Here is a 27,841-nt window from a genome sequence, read left to right on the forward strand (position 1 = left end):
ATGGTCTTGCTGACTTCAGGAGTGAAGCACAGACCTTCGCAGTGAGTGTTACAGCTCATAAAGGTAGTGTGGCCCCAAAGAGTGAGCAGCAGCAAGATTTATTGTGAAGAGCGAAAGAACAAAGCTTCCACAGCATAGAAGGGGACCTGAGCGGGTTGCCGCTGCTGGCTTGGGTGGCCAGCTTTTATTCCCTTATTTGGCCCCACTCACTTCCTGCTGATTGGTCCATTTTACAGAGTGCTGATTGGTCCATTTTACAGAGTGCTGATCAGTCTGTTTTTACAGAGTGCTGATTGGTGCGTTTACAAACATTTAGCTAGACACAGAGCGCTGATTGGTGCATTTACAAACCTTTAGCTAGACAGAAAAGTTCTCCAAGGCCCCACCCGACCCAGGAGCCCAGACAGCTTCACCTCTCAACAGCACTCCAGCCTGGGTGACAGAGCAAGACTCCATCTCGGAAAAAAAAAAAAAAATTGCCAATGAAAAAAGTCCAGGATCAGATGGATTCACAGTTGAATTCTATCAGACATTCAAAGCAGAATTGGTATCAATCTTACTGAAAATATTCCAAAAGATAGAGAAAGAGGGAATACTCCCTAAATCATTCTATGAAGTCAGTATCACCCTAATTCCAAAACCAGTTAAGGATATAACAAACAAACAAAAAAGAAAGAAAAGAAAACTATAGACCAATATCTCTGATGAACATAGATGCAAAAATCCTCAACAAAATAGTAGCTAACCGAATCCAACAGCATTATCAAAAAGATAATACAGGGGGATTTTGGGATCATGGCAGATGGGGGGCAGGACTAGATTGCAGCTCCAAACAAGGCAGCATGCAGAGGCTTGCATTGTGAATTTTAGCCCAGATTGACTGCAAGAAAAAAACAGCAATCCTTAGAAGACCCAAAGACCCTCTGAAGGAAGCAGACTGCTCCTGTGGGAGCCAGGAGACACCCTAAATACTGTGAGTGCCCCAACTGCATAAGTGAGAAGGGAGATTCTCCTTTCCCAAACACACACCCCCACTAGAGAAGATGAAGGTCTGTTTGCAAGAGAAGTTTCCAACTTTACCTGGAGCTGAGTCAAGTTAGAGAGCTGAGCGAAATACAGGGGTACAGGAAGCACCAGAAAGGCGCTGGGAGCTCACTAGGTCCCCAAGCAGCCCATTCCTGCCTGACACCACAGGAATCCATCGGGAGGGTGGCCAGAGGAGCAGGCGGTTAAACTCCACAAGGAGAAGGAAATCTCTAGCTGAACTTTGTAACAATTTGAAAGGGGTGAGAAGCCTCCTAGCCAGAACTTGTGGGAGGGCATGAATCTGGTGCACAGACTTCACAGGCAAGGGGAAGAACTAAAGCCATTTTCTTTCACAGCTGGGAGGCACAAAGCCTCCAGTAAGTTTTCAAGTCCATCCCGCCCTCTGCCTGGAAACAGACTCAGGGCTGTTGTGGGAGGCACAGTAGGAATGAGAGTGGCCCTTCGGTTTATATGGGAGCTGGGTGAGACCTGTGACTGCTGGCTTTCCCCCACTTCCCTGACAACCTGCATGACTCAGCAGAGGCAGCCATAATCCTCCTAGGTACACAGCTCCAATGACCTGGGAATCTCACTCCCATCCCCCACAGCAGCCACAGCAAGACCCGCCCAAGGAGAGTCTCAGCTCATCACACCAAGCCTCGCCTCCACCTGATAGTCCTTCCCAATCCACCCTAGTAGCAGAAGACAAAGAGAATTTAATCTTGGGACTTCTAGGGTCCCACCCACCACCAGTCCCTCTCCACACTACTACAGCTGATGCTTTCTGGAAAATGCCACCTCCTGGCAGGAGGCCAACCAGCACAAAAATAGAGCATTAAACCATCAAAACTAAGGACCCTAACGGAGTCCATTGCATCCTCCACCACCTCCACTGCAACAGGCGCTGGTATCTGCAGCTGAGAGACCTATAGACAGTTCACATCACAGGACTGTGTGCAGACAACACCCAGTACCAGCTTGGAACTGGGCAGACTCGCTGGGTGGCTAGACTCAGAAGAGAAACAACAATTACTGCAGTTTGGCTCACAGGAAGTCACATCCACAGGAAAAGGGGGTGAGCACTACATCAAGAGAACACCCCATGGGACAAAAAAATCTGAACAACAGCCTTCAGCCCTAGACCTTCCCTCTGACAGAGCCTACCCAAATGAGAAGGAACCAGAAAACCAACCCTGGTAATATGACAAAACAAGGTGCTTTGACACCCCCCAAATATCACAGTAGTTCACCAGTAATGGATCCAAACCAAGAAGAAATCCCTGATTTACCTGAAAAAGAACTCAGGAAGTTAGTTATTAAGCTAATCAGAGAGGGACCAGAGAAAGGCAAATCCCAGTACAAGGATATCCAAAATATGATACAAGAAGTGAAGGGAGAAATATTCAAGGAAATAAAGAAAAAAACAGTCAAAAATTCAGGAAATTTTGGACACACTTTTAGAAATGTGAAATGCTCTGGAAAGTTTCAGCAATAGAATTGAACAAGTAGAAGAAAGAAATTCAGAACTCAAAGACAAGGTCTTTGAATTAACCCAATCCATCAAAGTCAAAGAAGAAAGAGTAAGAAAATATGAACAAAGCCTCCAAGAAGTATGAGATTATGTTAAACAACCAAACCTAAGAATAACCAGTGCTCCTGAGGAAGAAGACAATTCTAAAAGCTTGGAAAGCTTATTTACGGGAATAATCAAGGAAAACTTCCCCAGCCTTGCTAAAGACCTAGACGTGCAAATACAAGAAGCACAAAAAACACCAGGGAAATTCATCGCAAAAACATCTTTATCTAGGCATATTTTCATCAGGTTATCCAAAGTTAAGACAAAGGAAAGAATCTTAAGAGCTGTGAGACAGATGCACCAGGTTACCTATTAAGGAAAACCTATCAGATTAACAGCAGATTTCTCAGAAGAAACCCTACAAGCTAGAAGGGATTGGGACCCTATCTTCGGCCTCCTCAAACAAAACGATTGCCAAGAATTTTGTAGCCAGCAAAACTAATCATCATATATGAAGAAAAGATATAGTCATTTTCAGACAAATGTTGAGAGAATTCGCCATTACCAAACCACCACTATATGAACTGCTAAAAGAAGCTCTAAACCTCAAAACAAATCCTGGAAACACATCAAAACAGAACCTCTTTAAAGCATAAATCACGCAGGACCTAAAAAAACAAAAATACAAGCTAAAAAGCAAAAACAAAGTACTGAAGCAACAAAGAGCATGATGAATGCAATGGTACCTCACATTTCAATACTAACATTGAATGTAAATGGCCTATGTACTCCACTTAAAAAATACAGAACCACGGAATGGATAGGAACTCACCAACCTTCTGCTGCCTTCAGGAGACTCACCTAAAGGTTAAACATAAGGACTCATATAAACAAAGTAAAGGGGTGGGAAAAGGCATTTTGTGCAAAGTAAATGGACACCAAAAACAAGCAAAACAAACTTTAAAGCAACAGCAGTTAAGAAGGACATTATGTAATGGTAAAAGGTCTTGTCCAACAGAAAAATATCACAATCTTAAACATATATGCACCTAACACTGGAGCTCCCAAATTTATAAAACAATTACTACTAGACCTAAGAAATGAGATAGCAACACAGTAATAGTGGAGGTCTCCAATACTCCACTGACAGTACTAAACAGGTCATCAAGACAGAAAAATCAACAAAGAAACAATGGATTTAAACTATACCTTGGAACAAATGGACTTAACAGATATACACAGAACATTTCATCCAACAACCGCAGAATACACATTCTGTTCAACACATGGAACTTTCTCCAAACCAAACCATGTGACAGGCCATAAAACAAGCCTCAATAAATTTAAGAAATTGAAATTATATCAAGCACTCTCTCAGACCACAGTGGAATAAAACTGGAAATCAACTCCAAAAGGAACATTCAAAACCAAGCAAATACATGGAAATTACATAACCTGCTCCTGAATGAGAACTGGGTCAAAAACAAAATCAAGATGGAAACTAAAAAATTCTTTGAACTGAATGACAATAATGACACAACCTATCAAAACCTCTAGGATACAGCTAAGGTGGTGCTAAGAGGAAAGTTCATAGCCCTAAACGCCTATATCAAAAAGTCTGAAAGAGCACAAACAGACAATCTAAGGTCACACCTCAAGGAACTAGTGAAACAAGAACAAACCAAACTGAAACCCAGCAGAAAAAAGAAATAACCAAGATCACAGCAGCACTAAATGAAATTTCAACAAAAAAATACAAAAGATAAATGAAACAAGAAGCTGGTTTGTTGAAAAGATAAATAAAATTGATAGACTATTAGCAAGATTAACCAAGAAAAGAAGAAAGAAAATCCAAATAACCTCACTAAGAAACAAAACAGGATATACTACAACTGAAATACAACAACCACTGAAATACAAAAGATCATTCAAGGCTACTATCAACACCTCTACACACATGTACTAGAAAACCTAGAAGAAATGGATAAATTCCTGGAAAAATACAACTCTCCTAGCTTAAATCAGGAAGAATTAGATACCCTGAACAGAACAAAACACGCAGTGAGATTAAAATGGTAATTTTAAAATTATCAAGAAAAAAAGTCCAGGACCAGGCGGATTCACAGCAGAATTCTACCAGATATTCAAATAATTGGTAGCAATCCTTCTGACACACTTCCACAAGACAGAGAAAAAAGGAACCCTCCCTAATTCATTCTGTGAAGCCAGCCTTACCCTAATGCCAAAACCAGGAAATGACACAACCAAAAAAGAAAAGTACAGATCAATATCCCTGATGAACATAGATGCTAAAATCCTTAACAAAATACTAGCTAACTGAATCCAACAACATATCAAAAAGATAATCCATAATAATCAAGTGGGTTTCATACCAAGGATGCAGGGACCATTTAACATATACACATCAATAAATGTGATACACCACATAAACAGAATTAAAAACAAAAATCACACAATCATCTCAATAGATGCAGAAAAAAATGATTCAACAAAATCTAGCACCCCTTTGTGTCTAAAACTCTCAGCAACATCAGCATACAAGGAACATACCTCAAAGTAATAAAAGCCATCTATGACAAACCCACAGCCAATATAATACTGAAAAGGGAAAAGTTGAAAGCATTCGCTCTGAGAACAGGAATAAGACAAGGATGCCCACTCTCACCACTCCTCTTCAACATAGTACTGGAAGTCTAGCCAGAGCAATCAGACGAGAGAATGAAATAAAGGGTAGCCAAATCAGTAAAGAGGAAGTCAAACTGTCACTGTTTGCCTTGAAAACCCTAAAGACTCCTCCAGAAAGCTCCTAGAACTGACAAAAGAATTCAGCCAAAAGAATCTTGTTTTTGGATACAAGATTAATGTACATAAATCAGTAGCTCTTCTATACACCAACAGTGACCAAGCAGAGAATCAAATCAAGAACTCAACCCCTTTTCCAACTGCAAAAAAAAAAAACCTTAGGAATATACCTAACAAAGGATTCAAAAAACCTCTACAAGGAAAACTACAAAACACTGCTGAAAAAAATCATAGATGACACCAACAAATGGAAACACATCCCATGCTCATGAATGGGTAGGATCAATATTGTGAAAATGACCACACTACCAAAAGTAATTACAAATTCAGTGTAATCCCCATCAAAATACCACCATCATTCTTCACAGAACTAGAAAAAAATTCTAAAATTCATATGGAACCAAGAGAGCCCACATAACCAAAGCAAGACTAAGCAAAAAGAACAAATCTGGAGGCATCACACTACCTGATTTCAAACTATACTATAAGGCCATAGTCCCCAAAACAGCATGGTACTGGCATAAAAATAGGCACTAGACCAAATGAACAGAATAGAAAACCCAGGAATAAACCAAAATACTTAGGGCCAACTGATCTTTGACAAAGCAAGCAAAAACACAAAAGTAGGAAAAGGATACTCTATTCAACAAATGATGCTGGGATAATTGGCAAGCCACATATAGGAGAATTAAACTGGATCCTCATCTCTCACCTTAAACAAAAATCACTCAAGATGGATCATGGACTTTAAGACTTGAAACTATAAAAATTATAGAAGATAACATTGGAAAAACCCTTATAGACATTGGCTTAGGCAAGGATTTCATGACCAAGAACCGGAAAGCAAATGCAATAAAAACAAAGATAAATAGCTGGGAGCTAATTAAACTAAAGAGCTTGTGCACAGCAAAAGGAACAGTCAGCAGAGTAAAAAAACCCACAGAGTGGTACAAAATCTTCACAACCTATACATCTGACAAAGGGCTAACATCCAGAATCTACAACAAACTCAAATCAGTAAGAAAAAAACAGCCGGGTGTGGTGGCTCACACCTGTAATCCCAACACTTTGGGAGGCTGAGGTGGGCAGATCACCTGAGGTCAGGAGTTCCAGACTAGCCTGACCAACATGGTGAAACCCTGTATCTACTAAAAACACAAAATTAGCCAGGCGTGGTGGCAGGTGCCTGTAATCCCAGCTACTTGGGAGGCTGAGGCAGGAGAATCGCTTAAACCTGGGAGGCAGAGGTTGCAGTGAGCTGAGATCTCACCATTGCACTCCAGCCTGGGCAACAAGAGCGAGAGACTGTCTCAAAAAACAAACAAACAAACAATCCCATCAAAAAGTGGACTAAGGACATGAACAGACAATTCTCAAAAGAAGATATACAAATGTCCAACAAACACATTAAAAAATGCTCACCACCACTAATGATTAGGGAAACGCAAATCAAAACCACAATGAGATACCACCTCACTCCTGCAAGAATGGCCATAATCAAAAAAACAGTAGACGTTGGTGTGGATGCAGTGAACCAGTAACACTTCCACACTGCTGGTGGGAATGTATACTAGTACAACCACTATGGAAAACAGTGTGGAAATTCCTTAAAGAACTAAAAGAATTATCATTTGATCTCGCAATCCCAGTACTAGGTATCTACCCAGAGGAAAAGAAGTCATTATTTGAAAAAGATACTTGCACATGCATGTTTATAGCAGCACAATTTACAATTGCAAAATTGTGGAACCAACTCAAATGCTATCAACGAGTGGATTAAAAAAACTGTGGTGTGTGTATATATATATATATATATATATACACACACACACACACACATATACACGTATACATATATATACATATATACGTGTATATATACATATGTGTGTGTGTGTATATATATATATGTGTGTGAGTATATGTGTGTGTGTGTGTGTGTGTGTGTGATGGAATACTACACAGCCACGAAAACGAATGAATTAACAGCATTTGCAGTGACCTGGATGAGACTGGAGATTATAATTCTAAGTGAAGTAACTCAGGAATGGAAAACCAAACATCTTATGTTCTCACTGATATGTGGGAGTTAGCTATGAGGATGCGAAGGCACAGAATGATACCATGGACTTTGGGGGTTTGGGGAGAAAAATAGGAGGCAGTCAAGGGATAAAAGACTACAAATATGGTGCCTTGTATACTGCTCAGGTGATGAGTGCACCAAAATCTCACAAATCACCACTAAATAACTTACTCATGTAACCAAATACCACCAGCACCCCAATAACTTATAAAAAAAATTTTTTTAAAGATAATACAGCAATAGTCAAGTGGGTTTCATACCAGGAATGCAGGGATATACAAGTCAATAAATGTAATATATCCAGTAAACAGAATTAAAAACAAAACTCATATTATCCCAATCAACGCAGAAAAAGCATTTGACAAAATTCAGCATTGCTATATGATTAAAACCCTCAGAAAAATTGGCATGGAAGGGACATACCTCAAGGTAATAAAAGCTATCTGTGACCAACCGACAGCCAACATTATACTGAACAGGGAAAAGTTGAAAGCATTCCCCCTGAGAACTGGAACAAGCCAAGGATGCTCACTTTCACCACTTCTATTCAACATAGTACTGGAAGTCCTAGCCAGAGCAATCAGACATGAGAAAGAAATAAAGGGCATCCAAATCAGTAAAGAGGAAGTCAAACTATTGCAGTTCACTGATGATAAGATTGTATACCTAGAAAACTCTGAAGATTCATCCAAAAGGCTCCTAGATTGGATAAATGAATTCAGTAAAGTTTCAGGATACAAAAATCAATGTTCACAGGTCAGTAACACCACTAAATACCAACAGTGACCAAGATGAGACACAAATCAAGAACTCGATCCCTTTTACAACAGCTGCTATATGTATTATATATATTATATATTATAATGTTTTATTTTATAATATATAATATGTTATTTCAGCATTGCTTTATGATTAAAACCCTCAGAAAAATTGGCATGGAAGGGACATACCTCAAGGTAATAAAAACTATCTATGACACACACACATATATATATATATAAAACCAAGCAGGTGAAAGACCTCTACAAGGAAAACTACAAAACACTGCTGAAAGAAATCACTGATGACACAAACAAATGGAAACACATCCCATGCTCATGGGTAGATTCAATATTGTGAAAGCTGTCAAAAGCAATCTACACATTCAGTGCAACTCCTATCAAAGTACCATCATCATTCTTCACAGAACTAGAAAAAAAAATCTAAAATTCATATGGAACCAAAAAGGACCCCTCATAACCAAAGCAAGACTAAGCAAAAAAAAAAAAAAAAAAAAAAAAAAAAACATCTGGAGGCATCGCATTAACTGACTTCAAACTATCCTACAAGATTTATACCAGTACCAAAACAGCATGGTACCAATATAAAAATAGGCACATAGACCAATGGAACAGAATACAGAACCCAGAAATAAAGCCAAATACTTACAACCAACTCATCTTCAACAAAGAAAGCAAAAACACAAATAGGGAAGGGGCACCCTATTCAACAAATGGTGCTGGGATAACTGTCTAGCCACATACAGAAGAATGAAACTGGATCCTCATCTCTTACCTTATACAGACATCAACTCAAGATGGATCAAACACTTAAATGTAAGACCTGAAACCATAAAAACTTTAGAAAATAACGCTGGAAAAACTCTTCTAGACATTGGCTTAGGCAAAGATTTTAAGACCAAAAACCCCAAAGCAAATCTAACAAAAACAAAAATAAATAGATATTACCTAATGAAAACACTTCGGCACAGCAAAATAATCAGCAGTGTAAACAGACACCTCACTGAATGGGAGAAAATATTCAACTATGCGTCCTACAAAGGACTAATATGCAGAATCTACAAGGAACTCAAATCAGTAAGAAAAAAAGAAATAATCCCATCAAAAAGTGGGCAAAGAACATGAATAGACAGTTCTCAAAAGAAGATACACAAATGACTAACACATGAAAAAGAATGCTCAACATCACTAATTATCAGGGAAATGCAGATTAAAACCACAATGAAATACCACCTTACTTCTGCAAGACTGGCCATAATTTACAAAGTCAAAAAATAGTAGATGTTTGCATAGATGTGATGAAAAGGGCACTTTTACACTGATGGTGGGAATATAAACTAGTACATCCACTGTGGAAAACTTTATGGAGATTCCTTAAAGAACTAAAAGTAAAACTACCATTTGATCCAGCAGTCCCACTATTGAGTATATATCCAGAAGAAAAGAAGTCATTATATGAAAAAGCCACTTGCATCTGCATGTTTATAGGAGCAAAATACACAATTGCAAAAATATGGAACCAGCCTAAATGCCCCTCGACTGACAAGTGGATAAAGAAAATGTGATATATTTACACCATGGAATACTACTCAGCCATAAAAAGGACTGAAGTAATGGCATTTGCAGCAATTTGTACGGGAGTTGGAGACCACTATTCCAAGTGAAGTAACTCAGGAATGGGAAACCAAATATCGTGTATGTTCTCACTTATAAGGGTTTGCTGAACTATGAGGATGCAAAGGCATAAGAATGATATAATGGGCCGGGTGCAGTGGCTCACAACTGTAATCCCAGCACTTTGGGAGGCCAAGGCAGGCGGATCATGAAGTCAGGAGATTGAGACCATCCTGGCTAACATGGTGAAACCCTGTCTCTACTAAAAATACAAAAAATTAGTCGTCGTGGCACGCGCCTGTAGTCCCAGCTACTCAGAGGTCTGAGGCAGGAGAATCGCTTGAACTTGGGAGGCAGAGGTTGCAGTGAGCTGAGATTGCGCCACTGCACTCTAGCCAGGGCGACAGAGCAAGACTGTCTCAAAAAAAAAAAAAAAATACATACATACATACATATATATATATATATATATATATATATATATATATAATGGACTTTGGGGACTCAAGGGAAAGTGGGAGGAGGGTGAGGGATAAAAGACTATACATTGGGTACAGTGTACACTGCTCAGGTGATGAGTACACAAAAATCTCAGAAATCACCACTAAATAACTTATCCATGTAACAAAAAAATGACCTGTTCCCCAAAAACTATTGCAATTTTTAAAAATGTAAACATTAGCCATGCGTGTTGATGCACACCTGTAGTCCCAGCTACTTAGGAAGCTGTGGCAAGAGTATCTCTTGAGCGTTGGAGGTCGAGGCTACAGTGAGCTATGATTGCACCACTGAACTTCATCCTGGGCAACAAAGTGAGCCCGTCTCAAACACACACACACACACACAACAAAAAATTGGTTTTGTCCTGGTACCTGGTTATTATAATTTGAAGCAGAAATTATTTTGTTTAGATTTTTTAATATTAAGAAGCATCTCCGTCGGGCGAGGTGGCTCACACCTCTAATCCCAGCACTTTAGGAGGCTGAGGTGGGCAGATCACCTGAGGTCGGGAGTTCAAGAACAGTCTGACAAACATGGAGAAACCCCGACTCTACTAAAAACACAAAATTAGCTGGGCATGGCGGCGCATGCCTGTGATCCCAGCTACTCAGGAGAGTGAGACACGAGAGTCACTTGAACCCAGGAGGCCAAGGTTGTGGTGAGCCGAGATCGCGCCATTGCACTCCAGCCTGGGCAACAAGAGCAAAACTGTCTCAAAAATAAAAAGTAAAAAAAAAAAAAGCATCTCTACTCACCATTAACTATACAATTAAGAGGTCACACCTTTGTTTCATCATCGTAGACAAGGTAAATATTACTAAAGAAAATGCCTGTCCATAAAAGGGATCTGGTGACAGAGGACAGCCTCTCCCAGAGTAACAGGCATCCAGGACTCCACTCTATCAACGATTTCTAAAACAATGGGTGTGAGCAAGGGCTAGGATGAGATGTGTGATTAAGTTCCTGAGCTGACGGCAAATTTAAAAGATGCCCTCTCAGCTCCTGGCTGCGGCCCATCCTCCCTGTAAGGTGCACGACTCCATGACGCTTTTCACTGACGGCACTACCTCTTGGCCATTACCACCTCCCACCAGATCCCATTCGCTCTGTTTTACCAGGGAAAGGTCTGCTCCAGTTAATGCCTTATCCTTCACAGTGATGTTCTTTGACTTTATAAAAACGGAGCCATTTGGTCAACAGGCTGCCCGTCGGATCCCGTGTCCTTCTGCACTGCTAATATCTAGCTGTGGCCCTGCTTTAAAACCCAAATGCAAACATCTCTTCCATGAAGCCCTTCCTGATTGCCAGTGCCCTCAACAGTGGAATAAGCTGCCAGGCATCTTAGAGATCTAGACCCGTGGTTCTCAACCCCCACTTCCCCAGGCCTCCTGAGAAGCTTTTAATAGGTGCATCAGCCCTGGATTCTTACCGGCAGGACTGAGAGGGAGCCTTAACGCTTGTGTTCTTCTAATAGTGTGCACAGGGTTGACGGGAAACACACACACACACAGTGCAGAACCATTCCACGAAGCTGTGTATCCGGAATTGGTTCCCTCTGAAGAGTTCCTGGTCCCGGTCCTGCCGCGGACCTTCACGGCATTATAGTTCTTAAACATGGTGTGTCCGGAGTTTGTTCCTTCAAATGTTCAGGTGTGTCCGAAGTTTTTTCTTTCTAGAGAGTTCGTGGTCTATGCACGACTTGATGAGTGAGGCCGCGGACCTTCGCAGGGAGTGTTACAGCTCTTAAAGGTGGCGCATCCGCGTTGTTCCTTCCTCCCAGCGGGTTCGTAGTTTCGCCGACCTCAGGAGTGAAGCCACAGACCTTCGCAGGGAGTGTTACACCTCTTAAAAGTGGTGCGTCTGGAGTTGTTTGCTCCTCCCTGTGGGTTCGTGGTGTCGCTGACTTCAGGAGTGAAGCCACAGACCTTCACAGTGAGTGTTATGGCTCTTAAAGGTGGCGGCTCCAGAGTTGTTTCTTGTGGTGGCTTCCTGGTCTCGCTGGTTTACAGGAGTGAACCTGCAGACCTTCACTGTGAGTGTTAAAGCTCATAAAGGTAGTGTGGACCTAAAAGGTGAGCAACAGCAAAATTTATTGCAAAGAGCGAAACAACAAAACCCCAACACCATCGAAGGGGACCCAAACGCAGCTGCCGCTGGCTCGGATGGCCAGCTTTTATTCCCTCATTGGCCCCGCCCACATCCTCCTGATTGGTCCTGCCCACATCCTCCTGATTGGTCCATTTTACAGAGCGCTGATTGGTCCATTTTACAGAGTGCTGATTGGTCCATTTTACAGAGTGCTGATTGGTCCGTTTTTACAGAGTGCTGATTGATGTGTTTACAAACCTTTAGCTAGACATAGAGCATTGATTGGTGCATTTACAATCCTTTGGCTAGAGAGAAAAGTTCTCCAAGTCCCCACCAATTAGCTGGACACAGAGCACTGATTGGTGCATTTTTACAGAGTGCTGATTGGTGTGTTTACAAACCTTTAGCTAGACACAGAGTGCAGATTGATGCTTTTACAATCCTTTAGCTAGACAGAAAAGTTCTCCAAGTCCCCATCCGACCCAGAAGCCCAGCGGGTTTCACCTCTCAGTAGCTTACAGAAGAGGACCCTGCTGCCACAGCACAATACCACAAAGAAAGTCATGCTCTCCTCAGCAGGTAGCCCCCTTCTCCGGGACAGGAACTTTGTTTCCTTCTTAGCTCTATCGCCAGCACCTAGAACAGTGCCCACCTGTCAGATCTGTTATCAGATGGGAACATGGCAGATTTGTTGAATGAATGAAGGAATGAATGAACTATGTGACACTCAAACTTAGCCACCAAACTTAAACTAAAAAAACTGGGTTGTGGTCCCTGATGGACCGTTGGCACCTTCTTCCTTTGCTGGACGGTGATCCGTGGCTGTTTCTGCGGTGTGTTCGCAGTGGTTGCCTGGCTTGGTAACAAACACTCTTCGGAGCCACAGCCTGTTCTCAGGGTCCTCGCCGCCTCCCAGGCCCTGCGATCTCTTTGCATCTCAGGAGGTCCAGGTTGGTTGCAGTCCTCTTGGGTGACTCAGGAACCAGCCTCTCCTGAAGCACACAGCTTAGGGAGTTCCTGAGGCCAGAGACATCTCCACGGGAAAGTCAAAGGCCTGGAGGAAGTGCGGACCTGACGACAGATGCCCCGCACGCTGGCCGGGACCGGGAAGGGCGGTCAAGGGTGGAAAGGGGCTGGCGGCTGCCAGGCCTGGCGGAGTGGAGCGGGGCGGGGCGCAGCGGGGCGGGGCGGGCCTGGAGCTGCACCTGCTTCTGGGCGGACGCACTTGGCGCGCGGCGCGGGCTGCAGACGGCTGCGAGGCGCTGGGCACAGGTCAGACGTCCGTACCCGCAGGGGGCTCGAACCTGGAGGAGGGCTCGAAGGGAGAGGGGGCCCCGCCAAGGAGCGGGGCTGTGATGGAGAGGAGGTTCCGACTCGCAGGGGACCTGCGGGGGAGGGGACGCGGACAGGGAGGGGCTCTGGGACAGGGGTGAAGGCTGCGCTAGGGGAGGACGGGAGGGGATGGAGGGCCCTGGTGTCGCGGAAGCCCAGCTGGGGCCCCCTCCGGGCTGCGGAACCGGTGCGCACACTACTCCCACCGCCCCCGAGTGCCTCTGTCCGGCTGGCCGCGGCCCTGGAACGAATATTGCTCAGTCCCCCGCGAGTCAGGTCTGCCGCGTTGCCCGGTGAGGGGAAGGTGTGAAGCCCCGGGCCTCCGTCTGCCCGGTGAGTCCGGGGACGCGCGCCCCCGGGGATGCCATCTGGCTCCTGGGCTGTGACCAGTCACAGCTCACATAGCTCTGGGCACTGGTACCGACTGCCTTTCCTTGTTAGCTGCGATACACAAATACACGAGCCAGATCCTTTCCTGAGGCCAGGAAGCCTGGAATCTAATAACACCGGGCGGTGGATAAAGTCCCCCGAGCCAGTGCTTAGCTTCCGTTAATGGAGCCATGGATGGAAGCGGATGTCAGGCGCAGTGGGGGAGAAATTTGCGGGGGTGGCCCTGTCTAGGGCCAGAGAAACAACCTCTGAAGCTTTGATCCAGCCCTAGAGGGAAGAAAGATGTGAGTTTCAGCCAGGGAAACGTAGCACTTTAAGAAATAGAAACCCTTTCAAAATTTGAGGGCAGGTAGCTCTCCTAAAAGTTGCAGAAATGGCCACTTCTTTTTTTTTTTTTTTTTTTTTTTGAGACGGAGTCTCGCTCTGTCGCCCAGGCTGGAGTGCAGTGGCGCAATCTCGGATCACTGCAAGCTCCACCTCCCGGGTTCACACCATTCTCCTGCCTCAGCCTCCCGAGTAGCTAGGACTACTGGCGCCCGCCACCACGCCCGGCTAATTTTTTGTATTTTTTTTTTTTTTGGTAGAGACGGGGTTTCACCGTGTTAGCCAGGATGGTCTCGATCTCCTGACCTCATGATCCACCCGCCTCAGCCTCCCAAAGTGCTGGGATTACAGGCGTGAACCACCGCGCCCAGCTAGAAATGGCCACTTCTTTCACGTTCTCTTCGACCGCTTTCTGCGGTGTCTGCCCTTTTCCTCCTCCTGCACCTTTTTGTCTCCTAGGGTCGCATAGCCTTCCAAACAGGCCTGCCTACAGCATTTTACCTGCAATTTTACACTCATTTTAATAGAAAGGATGGCTTATTGTTCATGAGAGACGTGTACTGTTTTTAACCAGATGTGTAATATCTTCAGTATAACCTGGATGTTGTGCAGTGGGAAGTTATGGAAAGAATCAGGACACGTGGTTAGGTAGGGGCCCAGGGGCGTCAGACTTAGCTCTTTGTGACAGTGAGCTTCTTGGTTTAATAAGGATATTGGCTCCCTCTGTTCCTGGGGTTTCTGGGAAAAGATATGGAACTGATATGAAGGTTTTATTGAATATGGCCCACTGATTTTACAAGTGGAGGTGACTGAGATAAGCAGAAGGTGAGGCATGACCTCTGGCTGTGCATTATTTGTTCTGATATTACAGGAGCCAAGCATTCCATTTCCTTCTTTTTAAAGAGCTTTGATTTCCTCTCACATCTTCATGAAGATGGAAACAGTGCCCCCACTTACTTATCCTCAGGCCACACCTGTTCCCATTTATTCCATGAGTTCCTCCCACACCCTTCTGGTTGATGTTGGTTGTGATGGTCGAGGTAATTGAATCTCACATTTGGCACCAGTTATTTCTGTTTCTCATCTCCCCCCTACCTGCAGTTAAACATCAGCTGCTATACTTAACTGTTCAAAGTACAGATGTTACCTGTGTTGGGTGTAATCAAAAGATTATCTCTTTTCCTCAAATGAAAAATGGGTGAGGACAGTTTCACCACACATAGAGTCACTCCCCTAGCCAAAGTCCTTGCTATTGCAAAACTTTTTACTGTAAGAGAATTAAAGTCACTAGTGTGTCATCAACTAATGGTACTTATAGACACATTCCATATTTGTTTCTATAGAAAGATCATAAGACAAACACTAGATTATTCCCAGTATGAGACCATACTGAATATGAACAATTAGAGGCCACAGGTGAGTGCTGTCCTCCTCACACTTTCTTTGAACTCTTAAGCTTCTACTCTTTTAACCAGCTACCCCTCTCCCCAAAACCTTCACTGAGGCTAGAAACAAACACAAATAGACTATTTGAATTTTAGCAAATTTTATCTCTCTTTTCTATTCTCTTGTGTAAAACTTAAATGGCCACAAGCTACACTACTGGAGGAAAAAGGAAAGCTAAAAGGTCTATCAGCCTTCTGTATGTGATGCAGAGTTCAACTGAATATAGCAAGGTACACACCCGCATTCTCCTTGCCAGGACTTAGATATCATAAGCCATTATCTTGCTGGTTGTTGAAATCATAATGGGGCTTTATAGAGCACAAGGCGATGTTTGTAAACAGCACTGTTCAGGTCAGATTAGAATCCGTATTTCAAAAATGAGGAGATGGAAACAGAGATATTGTGTATGTGGTCCAGGGTTAGCCAGTAATTAAATGGCAGAGCCAGAACTCAAACCAACATTCCTTCCAGAATACCACAGCTGCCTCTGGAGTGGTTTTTGTTGTTCTTGTTGAATTTTGTGATGGAAGATTGTGATTTGTTTTTCCCGAACACTTAATATGTTTTCTGACTTGAATTATCAGAATCTAAATTTAGAAACTCTCTCGTTTGGTATATTTCATGCCCATCTTTGTTCCATATAATTACAAAAATATCTTAGAGCTGAGTATAACCTTAAAGATTGTCAAGTCCAATCTTGTGGTTTTTCAAGGAAGAAAACCGGATTTAAGAAAAATAAAGCAAGTACCTCATGTTGCTTCCCCAAATCTACTTCATTGGAGAATTACAGCTAAAAACAATGTTCAGATTTTTGCTCCTTCTGTCATGTGGTCCCTTGAGAATTTGCCAAATGTATAAATCCAGTGACTTATTTTGATGTACTCTTTTGGTTTGAGGTCTGTGACAGCAAACATAACCTCCTTGAATCCCAGCCTCAAATGCCTATGGACCTTCTGTTCTAACTGTTATTATAACTGTAGCCGTTATTATAGTGGCTAAAGTTCTAACTTCTGTTCTAACTGTGCTCCTGGTTCCATGACAAAGAGAGCTTTACTTGTCTTATTCCTAGCACAGTGCCCATAGCAGGCATACATAAAATGTGGTATGTCAGATAAACATCTGAAAAAGTGTGAGATGTCATTAGACGTTCATTCAGCTACAAGAACAGAAAACCCTACTACAGCGGCTTAAACAAGTAAGGAGTTTGTTTTTCTCAGAGAACGAGAAGTCTGGAGGTGAGAAGGCTGGGGCTGGGAAAGGGGTTCCGATATGAACGTCATCTGAGACAGGCTCCTTGTGTCTTCCCGCACCACCCTCCTTAGCATGGAGCTTTCATACTCACTTCCGCAAGTTGCAGCAGAAAGACGGGCAGAGGCATGCTCCAGAAGAGTCTTGTCTTGTCTTTTCTTTTCTTTTCTTTTCTCTCTTCTTTTCTTTTCTCTCTCTCTCTCTCTGTCTCATCTCTTTCTTTCTTTTGACTCAGAGTCTCTCTCAGTGGCACAATCTCGGCTCACTGCAACCTCCGCTTCCTGGGTTCAAGTGATTCTCCTGCCTCAGCCTCCAAGTAGCTGGGATTACAGACGTGCACCACCACGCCCAGCTAATTTTTGTATTTTTAGTAGAGACGGGGTTTCACCATGTTGGTCAGGCTGGTCTTGAACTCCTGACCCTGTGATCTGCCCCCCTCGGCCTCCCAAAGTGCTGGGATTACAGATGTGAGCCACCACGCCTGGCCTGTCCTTCTTTATAATAAATAATAATAATAACAGCTTTTCTGGTAGCCCACCCCAAAAGACTTCTTACATGTCATTGGCCAGAACCATATCACATACACACTGTTAACGGTGACGGAACCAGAGAGAATCTAGTGTTTGAGACAGACACGTTGCCAATACATCAAAATAAGAATTTTGGGCCAGACACAGTGGCTCACGCCTGTAATTCCAGCATTTTGGGAGGTCAAGGCGGGTGGATCACCTGAGGTCAGGAGTTCAAGACCAGCCTGGCCAACATGGTGAAACCCCATCTCTACTAAAAACACAAAAAATCAGCCGGGCGTGCTAGCAGGCGCCTATAGTCCCAGCTACTCAGGAGGCTGAGGCAGGAGAATCGCTTGAACCCAGGAGGCAGAGGTTGCAGTGAGCCGAGATCATGCCACTTGCACTCCAGCCTGGACAACAAGAGCGAAACTCCATCTCAAAAAAATAATAATAACAACAAAATAGGAATTTTGTTAATAAGGCGGGGGGAGAATGAACATTGGGTAGGCAGCTAGCAGCATCTGCCATAGTGTGTTTTATGAGTCATAGATCCTGTCTCTAAATAGGTTGTTATTTGTTTTGGTTTTTTGTTTGTTTTACTAAAAAGCAATGGGTAATGCAGTGGGTCCAGGGGAACTTTTTTAAATGGTAGAGTGCAAGGACCACTCTGAGAACTGCTGATTATGTAGGTCTGGGCTGGGTCTATAATTCTCCATTATGGACGGGCACGCCAGGTCATCTGAGGGCAGGTGGTTGCGGGAATACATTTTGAGAAACACCGAATGTCAGGTAGTTTAGCAAAAGCGACTTTATTTTATTTCTGTTAGCTTTTTGCCTCACTCCTCTTGAGGGTATACTTTATTTTTTAATTATCTGCTTTGGTCAACATAAATCAATGTATAGTCTTAGAAGTCGTTCATTGTAGAAGGTTTTCATTGAGTTTATACTGAGTATAGAACCCTAGCGGCAATTACTTTCAATGCTTTGGGTTGTGTTTTTCTGATATTACCATATTCTAAATAGCATGCAGATACGGGCCATTTCTTCTTCTCTTTTCCAGTTCTGGATGACATCTATTGACATCCTACCAAGAAGGATGAGGGTTTCGCTCCTTTACACCCCCACCCTCCCTCTCACCTTCACATCCCTTTCTTTTAAGTTCCCAGTACGGTTATATCCTAAATTTTTGATATGTCAATGTTTGGTGTATATATTATTCCCAACTAAGGCACATGATACACCATGATCTTTACATTTCCCTTCTTGACCAGTCTTTCCCCCAACCCCCTGGAATGGGGTGTAGGAGTTGCTACATTTTCTTTAGTTGTTTGAGAACTCATCACCAAGAAGTCATTTCCTGGAGCCAAGGAAACTCATGGGGGCCCTCTGAGTGCTGCTAATTGCATGGAGCTGTTGAGTGGGGAGGAAACGCCAGGCCGCCATCAAGAAGCATTTGGGGTAAATTTTCCAAGCACATCTGAAAAGACAGAGTCTAGAACCTCCACGGTCCCTGTCTGTTGTGATTTATTTTCTCATTCTAAATACACACACACTTTTTTTTTCTGTCTAGGCCATCTCTTGTGGAATACATATGTACTTTCATACCCAATTATGTACAGTTTTTGTAATTTTACGCCTTTTTCTTAAAGAAGGCTCCCAAAAGTGTATAAGATTCAGGCCCCATAAGATGCGGTTGCTTTTTGAGCTTGTGCCCATTTGAGATGTCACTTTTCTTCCTTCACACTTGCTTGCTGGTTTGGCTGGGTATGGGATATTAATCAGAAATCATTTCCCGTACGAATTTTGAAAACATTGCTCTATTTTATTCTACTTTCTTACGGTGCTGTTGAGAGGCTGATGCCATTCTAATTCCTGATCCCTTGTATTTTGTTCTAATCTCTGGGCATTTGTAGGGTTTTCTTTATTGTTCATATTCTGATATTTCATGATGTTGTTATTTAATGTTGGGGTGGGTTTTTTGGCGGGGTGGGGGGAATACAGGGAGGTATCCGTCACTGTCCTAAGTATTTTCTAGGCCTTTTCAATCCAAAAAGTACATTCTTCAGTTCTGAGTGGTTTTCTTCTGTTATATAATTTCCTCGTTCTTTCTTTCTGAAACTTAAATTACTTAGACTGAATCTGAAAATGGGATCTCTTGGATCTGTCTTGTAATTTTATCTTTTTTATTTTAAAAAATATCCCATGTTTTTTTAGTTCTAATAAATCTTCCAACAATGCTATTAAATGTTTACATTCTACCATTATATTTTTAATTCTCAGGAGCTTTTATTGGCGAGAGGTGTGGTCTTCTGAATGGTTTTTACAGTATCCTGTTCTCATTTCATGAACGCAGCATCTTCTCTTCTTTCTCCAAGCATATTAACTCAGTACTTTTTCTACATTTTAGAAGTTTTCTTCAGCTACCTACAATGTCTGTGTCTATTTTTAAAGTGACGTTTAATGTTGCTTTTGGCCTGCCTTTCACGTTGGAAGCTTTATACATGTTTGGGGATGGTGTGCGTCATCTGTGAGCATGGCTTGTAGGTTGGCTGGCTTCATTGCAGGGTGGTTAAGCAGAGAAGGCCTTTTTGATGGCTTATCATCATCTGTCTCTAGTGCTTTCTAGTACATATAATGGGTTTCTCTGTAGAAAGATCTCATTTCTAGCCATTTATTCCTGTTTGAGAAAAGTCACATAATAACTTAGATGTATTTATTATGTCATCTGCTTAATAGCGGAGGTTCTTGTTGTAAGGTGGACAGGTGGAGGTCTAGGATTCAAAATGGGAAATGTGTCCTTGACTCCGCCTGCACTTTGAAGTTGCTGATGTTCTCCATGTTTTATTTTCTATTGAAAAAGCTCTGAGATACTAGGGAATGAAAACTCTTTGACTACATGTACAACTAATTTACTTTTTGATAACCATTTGCAAAATATGGATTATATTGGGAAAACATTTTTCTTTTTTTTTTTTTTTTTGAGACAGAGTCTCACTCTGTGGCCCAGGCTGGAGTGCAGTGGCGCGATCTCAGCTCACTGCAAGCTCCGCCTCCCGAGTTCAAGCCATTCTCCTACCTCAGCCTCCTGAGTAGCTGGGATTACAGGCGCCCACCACCATGCCCAGCTAATTTTTGTATTTTTAGTAGAGACAGGGTTTCACCATGTTGGTCAGGCTGGTCTCGAACCCCTGACCTTGTGATCCACCCACCTCGGCCTCCCAAAGTGCTGGGATTACAGGCATGAGCCACCACACCCAGCCTGGGAAAATATTTTTCTAATATCTCTAGAATTTGGGACAGAATTTCTGTCCTTGAAGGTCACCCTCCAAATCCATGCAATTTTTCCCTTCTGCAGCCCCACAGTGATCATCAAAACTTGGAGCAGATTCATGTTTTTTATTTTTTTCCTGGGAAAGTTTTAGATCACGTGAAGGGAACAGATACTACGTTTGATAGGAATCGTTCCTGCTTTAGCTTCTTAAGGCCTCTCACTTGGAAAGCCTGCCCATTAGACCCTGATTTTTTGCTGTTAGCTTTTCCTTCTTAGGCGACTTCAACAAAGACTGCAAACTCCCTGACAGCACAGGCCCAGGCTTGTCACCCCTGCAACTCCATCTCCCAGAACAGTGCCTTATGCATAACAGGTACTTGATAAATGTTAGTTGACTTAAATTGACCCTATTATCTGTTTTAAACTAGCCCTTCCTACCTGTCCCCTTGCTATTTCCTCTGTTTCTGTTAAATCTTTTTATGTCACCACCTCTTGGATGATGCTACCTCATTCTCAAATCTGATGGTATGGAATAGCTATAAGAAAACAAACTTGAAAGATCTCTAACTACTAGGACTCTAAGTAGAATTTCCTGGATTGAAAACTCCCCATATCACCCTACTAAATATCTAATTATTTCTTAGGTTATCACCAACCACCCTGCATCGAGTCCCTCCTGAGCCACAGTTCAGTTTGGATTATTTTTTTCCTCATGTTCCATCCCTTGACTGTAGTGCCCTTCCCTTCCTTCCAGTGTCTTTGATCGGCCTGCACTTTGATCCAGAGCTTCTCTTTGATCTGTTCTAATGGTCATTTTTCTGCCTCCTCCCCTACATTGATCTACAATCTGGCATATTTTATACATTATACAAAGCTCATTGTTGTGCTCATTTCAGAATACCTACCTGTCAATCACACAGACATCTTTTCAAACCTAACTCAGACCCACAATGAAAGTCCCTCTCTTCTGGCCATTACTGAGATAGCTCCTGCTTCGGTCTCACTGGGGCTGTTTATTTCTCTATGGGAGGCTCTAGAACAGTAACTAAACTACAGTGCAAAACAGTGATCTATAGATTACTGTTTCTCAATCGTCAGCACTAACAATAGAGTCTAAACTCCCAGGGACCTGGAGACTTGTCTGAGAACAGCCTGGCATAAGTGCAGTCTCTCTTAATACTAAAAAATATATGCTACCCCACAATATGTCTGTATCTGTTTTAAAATGAAAATCATTTTTCCAGAATCTTTAGGTGAAATTGATACTCCAGGATTATGTTCGTCTTGTGATTTCAGATATCATCTGGGGGGAAAGGATTCACACATATGCCAGTCTGTGAGACACAGTAGTAGAAATCAAGGGACTTACCTAGCTCTAAGAATTGTATGAAAATAGTAACGGTACCAACAATTTTACCAATGGCTAGATTTAGGAGATGGTGTTCTCTTGATTCAAGATGAAGGCTAAGCTGCATCAGTTCAGTTCAGTTTAAGAACTATTATTATGTATCAAGCTTGTGCTAGTTTTTGATGGAGATGATAAGGTCTCCACTCTTGAAGATTCTGTAGACTAATGGGCAAGACATATGTCACTATATAATTTTAATATAACATGGTAAGTGATAAAAAATCATGGTATGTATGAGGTCCTTTGAAAACACAGAGGTGAGGCGCTTAGCCCAGCCTGGAGATTCACAGAGGCTTCCTGGAGGAAATAAGGCCTAAATATGGAAACCAAGTAAGAGGAATGAAAAGGACGTGCAATTTAGAGGGGACAACATGAGCAAAGGGGACACTGTCAGGTTCATGGTGGGGAGAATTGGGAGGTGACACTGGAGAGGAGCCACATTCAGGTATACCCAATGCAAGGGGACGTGGACCCCTCCACAGGCTGCTGGTTAGCCAATGGAACATTTTCCATCCTCCAGTAGTGTAGTCAGATGTACACGGAAGGTGGATGACTGGCTGCGGGGTGGAAGAAGAATTCATGGACAGCAGGACTAGAGGCCTCGCAGTGTTTAGGAAAAAGACAATGAGAGACCAAATGAGATCATTGCTGCAGGCACAGAAGGGAAAGAGAAAATACCAGGATACTTGGGGAAGCGAATTTAGCAGAATTTTGATGTCTTTGGGGGCAATGGTGAGGGGAGAAGAGAGTCCAGAATGACTCCCAAGATTCTGGCTTTCTGGGTGACTGGACATTAAGCCATTAACTAAGTTTGGGATATGAGAAGAGAAGCCGATTTGGTGGGGAAAGAAGATGGTGAGTTCAGTCTTGGAAATACTGACTTGAGGTGTCTAAGAAACATCTATACGTTTATGTGCATGTCTGTCTGTTCAGCAGGTTGTTGGATCTATGAGTCTGAGACTTAGAGACAAGGCCAGAGCTGGAGATGAAGTTGTGGGAGTCACCATTGTGCAAGTGGTGATTAATCCATGGGTGTGCGTGAGAGTTCTTGCAAGGGGAAGAGGAAACGGAAGTAAGGGCTTATGCAAGGAGGACTGTTGAGTAAAGTGGAAGGCCCAGCCTCTGCCTGCTCACTAATGTCAGTGCTGAACAAGCCCACTGGTAGTGGATGCTGAGGGAAGGAAGGAAGGAGTCTGTCTGTAAGCTTGAGCACTTTTTCCAAGAGGTGGAGAAGGCAGAGAGCCCAAGCCTTGAAGAAATGTTCCTTAGTGGCCTGGCATCTTGGAAATTTGACTCCATGACTTTGGAGAGATCTTTCCATTATTATTTTCCTTGAGCGCCCAGAAAGAGAATTCTGAACTAAATGTATTCTTTCCCATGGCTGAGTTAAGGATAGTGTTAATTACAGAAATATATGTAAGGTTTTTTTTGGTTTTTTTTTTTGGTTGTTTGAAAACTAAACCCACCTTTGAAGTCCAGAGATGTCCTTTCACTCTAATGTATGCTGAGGTGGCAACTGGTAACTGCTTCTTTGTAGGTAATAGCCATAGCCTTAGTTTCATCCTCCCTTCTCCATGACCAAAACTTGCTCCAACTTCTGCATTTCGTTTTTGTGATGTATTAATGAGGAGCAAAGACATAAAGGAATTTCAGAATTCAGAAGAGCCATGGAGAGTCCCTCTTCCAAACTCCCTATTTAACAAATAAAGAGGCCGGGCGCGGTGGCTCACGCCTGTAATCCCAGCACTTTGGGAGGCCGAGGCGGGCGGATCACGAGGTCAGGAGATCGAGACCATCCTGGCTAACACAGTGAAACCGTGTGCCTACTAAAAATACAAAAAATTAGCTGGGCGTGGTGGCGGGTGCCTGTAGTCCCAGCTAATCGGGAGGCTGAGGCAGGAGAATGGTGTGAACCCGGGAGGCAGAGCTTGCAGTGAGCCGAGATGGCGCCACTGCACTCCAGCCTGGGGGACACAGCAAGACTCTGTCACAAAAAAAAAAAAAAAAAAAAGGACCCTGAGAGGCTATGTGTCTTGCTCAAGGTCACAGAGTGAATTCCTAGCAGCATTCAGGCTAGGACCCAAGTATTCTGACTCAGTGGCCAGTGTTCTTGTTAGATAGTGAGAAAATAGAATTTAGTCCAATTTGTTTTTCTTTTTTTTTTTTTTGAGACGGAGTCTCGATCTGTCACCCAGGCTGGAATGCAGTGGCGCGATCTCGGCTCACTGCAAGCTCCACCTCCTGGGTTCACGCCATTCTCCTGCCTCAGCCTCCCGAGTAGCTGGGACTACAGGCACCCACCACCATGCCCGGCTAATTTTTTGTATTTTTAGTAGAGATGGGGTTTCACCGTGGTCTCGATTTCCTGACCTCGTGATCTGCTCGCCTCGACCTCCCAAAGTGTTGGGATTACAGGCGTGAGCCACCGTGCCCGGCCTCCAATTTATTTTTCATTCTCGAATTCAGGATCCAGCAAAACTGCCTAATTTTCATGACAGTTTGAAGAAAGGCCCAAATCAAATGCCTCCCGCTCTGTGAGGCCTGCCCAGTTTCTCAGGTGAGAGTTACCCACTTTGTGTGCTATGTGCTAGGACTGCTACCAGTACGTCCCAGGACAATCAGTCTTTCACAAGTATTGTCATGTGGTGCTTAACGACAGGGACATGTTCTGAGAAATGTGTCGTTAGGCGATTTTGTTGTGTGGACATCCTAGAGTGTACTTACACAAACCCAGATGGCATAGCCTACTACACATCTAGGCTATGCGGTGTATACTGTCAGTGCTGAGTATACGCACTGTTAGCAGATGCTGAAGGGAGTCTGTAGGTGTGAGCACTTTTTCCAAGAACTGACTTCAAACCTGTACAGCACATTACCGTACCACACACTGTAAGCAGTTATAGCACAGTGGTAAGTATGTGTGTATCTAAACACGGAAAACATGCATTAAACATATGGTATTATGGCCAGGCGCAGTGGCTCACACCTATAATCCCAGCACTTTGGGAGGCGGAGGCAGGCAGATCACGTGAGGTCGGGAGTTTGAGACCAGCCTGACCAACATGGAGAAACCCCGCCTCTACTAAAAATACAAAATTAGCCAGGCGTGGTGGTGCGTGCCTGTAATCCCAGCTACTCGAGAGGCTGAGACAGGAGAATAGCTTGAACTGGGAGGCGGAGGTTGCCATGAGCTGAGACTGCACCATTGCACTCTAGCCTGGGCAACAAGAGCGAAACTCTGCCTCAGAAATAAAATAAAATAATTAGCCGAGCGTGGTGGTGCACACCTGTGGTCCCAGCTACTCAGGAAGCTGAGGCAGGAGGATCACTTGAACCCTGGGGGCGGAGGTTGCAGTGAGTTGAGATCGTGCCACCGCCCTCCAGCCTGGGCAATAGAGTGAGACCTTGTCTCAAAAAAAAGAAACAAAAAAGTATTATAATCTTATGGGGCCACCATCATACATGCCGTCTGTCATTAACCAAAATGTCATTATGCGGCACCTGACTGTATACAGCTGTCTACTAGATTATAAACTCCTTGCAGATAAAACTATTCATTTCATCATTATCCATTGTATTATTTCCTTAGCACCCAGAAGAATCCTGTATTTAATTGGCTCATATGGAAAATTTTAGAAAGAGAGAGACAGCAGGGCTGAGACTATCTTCTGCTCAGGAACCAAAACGAGCTGGGAGGTAACAGAATTCTTTTTCATAGTAATTGTATTCCATATCATGGTGAAATCGTGCCAGAACAAGCTTCAGACTCTTTCTGGTCTTACTCCTTCTGACCGTGCTGTTCCCAAGAACCTCCCACACAGGAAATAACAATGATGGCAGTAGCTGTCAAATTCTAAAGACGGGGATAGACTCTGGACCTCCTCAGGCCCCTGAGCCCACTGTAGAGCAGGGACGTGACTTAGTTGAAGTTCAGGACTGCGGCCACAGTCACACCACCTGTAAGCAATGGAGGACTTTCAACACAGAACTCTCTGCTTCCCCTGCATTCTGTTACTAAGCAGCTCATAGAACGTGAAGAGGTATTAACCTTGTTATTTGCAGAGTTACAAAAAGCTGAGTCAGGTAGGTTTGGCTGTATTCCAAAGCAAACCCAGACCAGAAGCCACCTGAGAGTTCCTGCCGGCAAGGACAAATTCAGAATGTAGAAAAACGATGAAAATAAATATTCTATGATCACCCTATAACCTACTTCCTTACTGACCAAACACACGTCTCATTCCCATTAACAAGTTATGCTCAGCCACTGCCCTCTCTAGGATTATGTGATGTTAAACAGTAATTCTGCCCATTTAGGGTCAGCTACTCAAAAGCAAAGAACAGCAACTTTAGGTCAAAATATGTTCTTCTAGGAGAGAAGCCTAAGTCTCTCCCCTATTATTGCACGAATAGTGTACCAGCACCAGACTAGAGAGGAAGTTAACACTTATTAAACATGTATTCTAGTCACCTGCTAGACATTTTCAGGTAAGCCTCACAGGATCCCTCCAAGGTGGTATTAATGTCCCTGTTTTAGAAGGAGGAGTACTGAGATTCACAGACATTAGAGAACTTGTCCAAGGTCTTACCAGTAAAAGTGGCAAAACCAGGACTGAACTTAGGTCTGACACTACATAGTTCATATTCTATTATGTGACTATATTCCTCCTTAAAGGAAAATTTAGGAATTCAGTTTCCTTTAGGAAGATGTAGGAAATAGAATGTACTAAAACTAAGATAACAGTTGACTTAAGTCTTTTCTAACTCAGCCTTCCTCAGGCCCATGTGTGAGTTGGTTTCTATCCTTTCCCTGAAACTCTTGGGCACATAGGAACATAATGTCTGTTTGATTTTACTTTTAAGTATATTCTTTTGGTCAGTCCCAATCTGACAAAATTTTAAGATTTAATGCATTCTATCCATGCAAGAGAATTACATGTGGTTTTGCTTGTAAAGAAGGTGGGAATGATATAGGGTAAAGAGAGTAAGTGACATTATCTAGTTCACTCCCACCATATGGATGATTGGCTGCAAGTGCCTCTCAGCCTTTGCATGTGTTATTTGCTCTGACTAGAACTCTGCCCACACTACCTGACTAATGCCTGTGTGTTTTTCCAGGAAGCTTTCATGACACTACCCTCTATAATCTTTCTCCTGTTTCCTCCAGGCTGAATAGGAATCCTCCCTTTGTTTTCATTGTTATTAGTGTTCTCTGTATACTCTAGTAAAGTATTTTTATATGAATCATAATAGTTTAATTAATCAGCCTTCTGATTCACAGTTTAAGCTGGTTATAGGCAAGGTCCTTCTGTAAAGAGTTGATGAAATCTACTTTTAAGAGTAGAAAGATAGACAAGATGCCAAGACAATTCAATAGGGAAAAAGAATAGTCTTATTAACAAATGGCTGGGACACTTGGATATTCACATGTGAAAGAATAAAGTTGGATCCCTACCTCACACCATATACAAAAGTTAAGTCAA

At 42.9% G+C, this 27,841-nt stretch overlaps 1 protein-coding gene and 1 long non-coding RNA gene across 10 annotated transcripts in view, besides 1 other annotated feature; one reads left to right on the forward strand and one right to left on the reverse strand.

The window, feature by feature from the left end:
- The window catches only part of LOC124902793 (uncharacterized), a 52,972-nt gene extending 40,481 nt beyond the window's left edge, over positions 1 to 12,491 (reverse strand). The window contains exon 1 of the long non-coding RNA XR_007062952.1: positions 11,772 to 12,491. This is a non-coding gene — a long non-coding RNA (uncharacterized LOC124902793). The remainder of the gene's footprint in view (positions 1 to 11,771) is intronic.
- Positions 1,302 to 1,802: an enhancer, noted in NCBI's record as "H3K27ac hESC enhancer chr11:129673393-129673893 (GRCh37/hg19 assembly coordinates)". NCBI's record gives its function as "activates a minimal SCP1, AML or CMV promoter by ChIP-STARR-seq in primed H9 embryonic stem cells {active_cell/tissue: H9 hESC(primed)}" and the evidence as "EXISTENCE:reporter gene assay evidence [ECO:0000049][PMID:30033119]".
- A 1,160-nt stretch (positions 12,492 to 13,651) lies between the features above and the next one.
- The window catches only part of TMEM45B (transmembrane protein 45B), a 44,156-nt gene continuing 29,966 nt past the window's right edge, over positions 13,652 to 27,841 (forward strand). For 4 of the 9 annotated variants that reach the window (XM_047426358.1, NM_001331210.2, NM_001331211.2 and 1 more), the window contains exon 1: positions 13,652 to 13,702. The gene's annotated coding sequence lies outside the window, so the exon portion shown is untranslated. Of the gene's footprint in view, positions 14,096 to 24,827; positions 24,919 to 25,950; positions 26,058 to 27,841 lie in introns of all 9 variants that reach the window. The other 5 variants (XM_047426354.1, XM_047426355.1, XM_017017188.2 and 2 more) reach the window with 3 other exon arrangements.

Source organism: Homo sapiens, chromosome 11, assembly GCF_000001405.40.
Source record: "Homo sapiens chromosome 11, GRCh38.p14 Primary Assembly".
NCBI classification, from domain to species: Eukaryota; Metazoa; Chordata; class Mammalia; order Primates; family Hominidae; genus Homo; species Homo sapiens.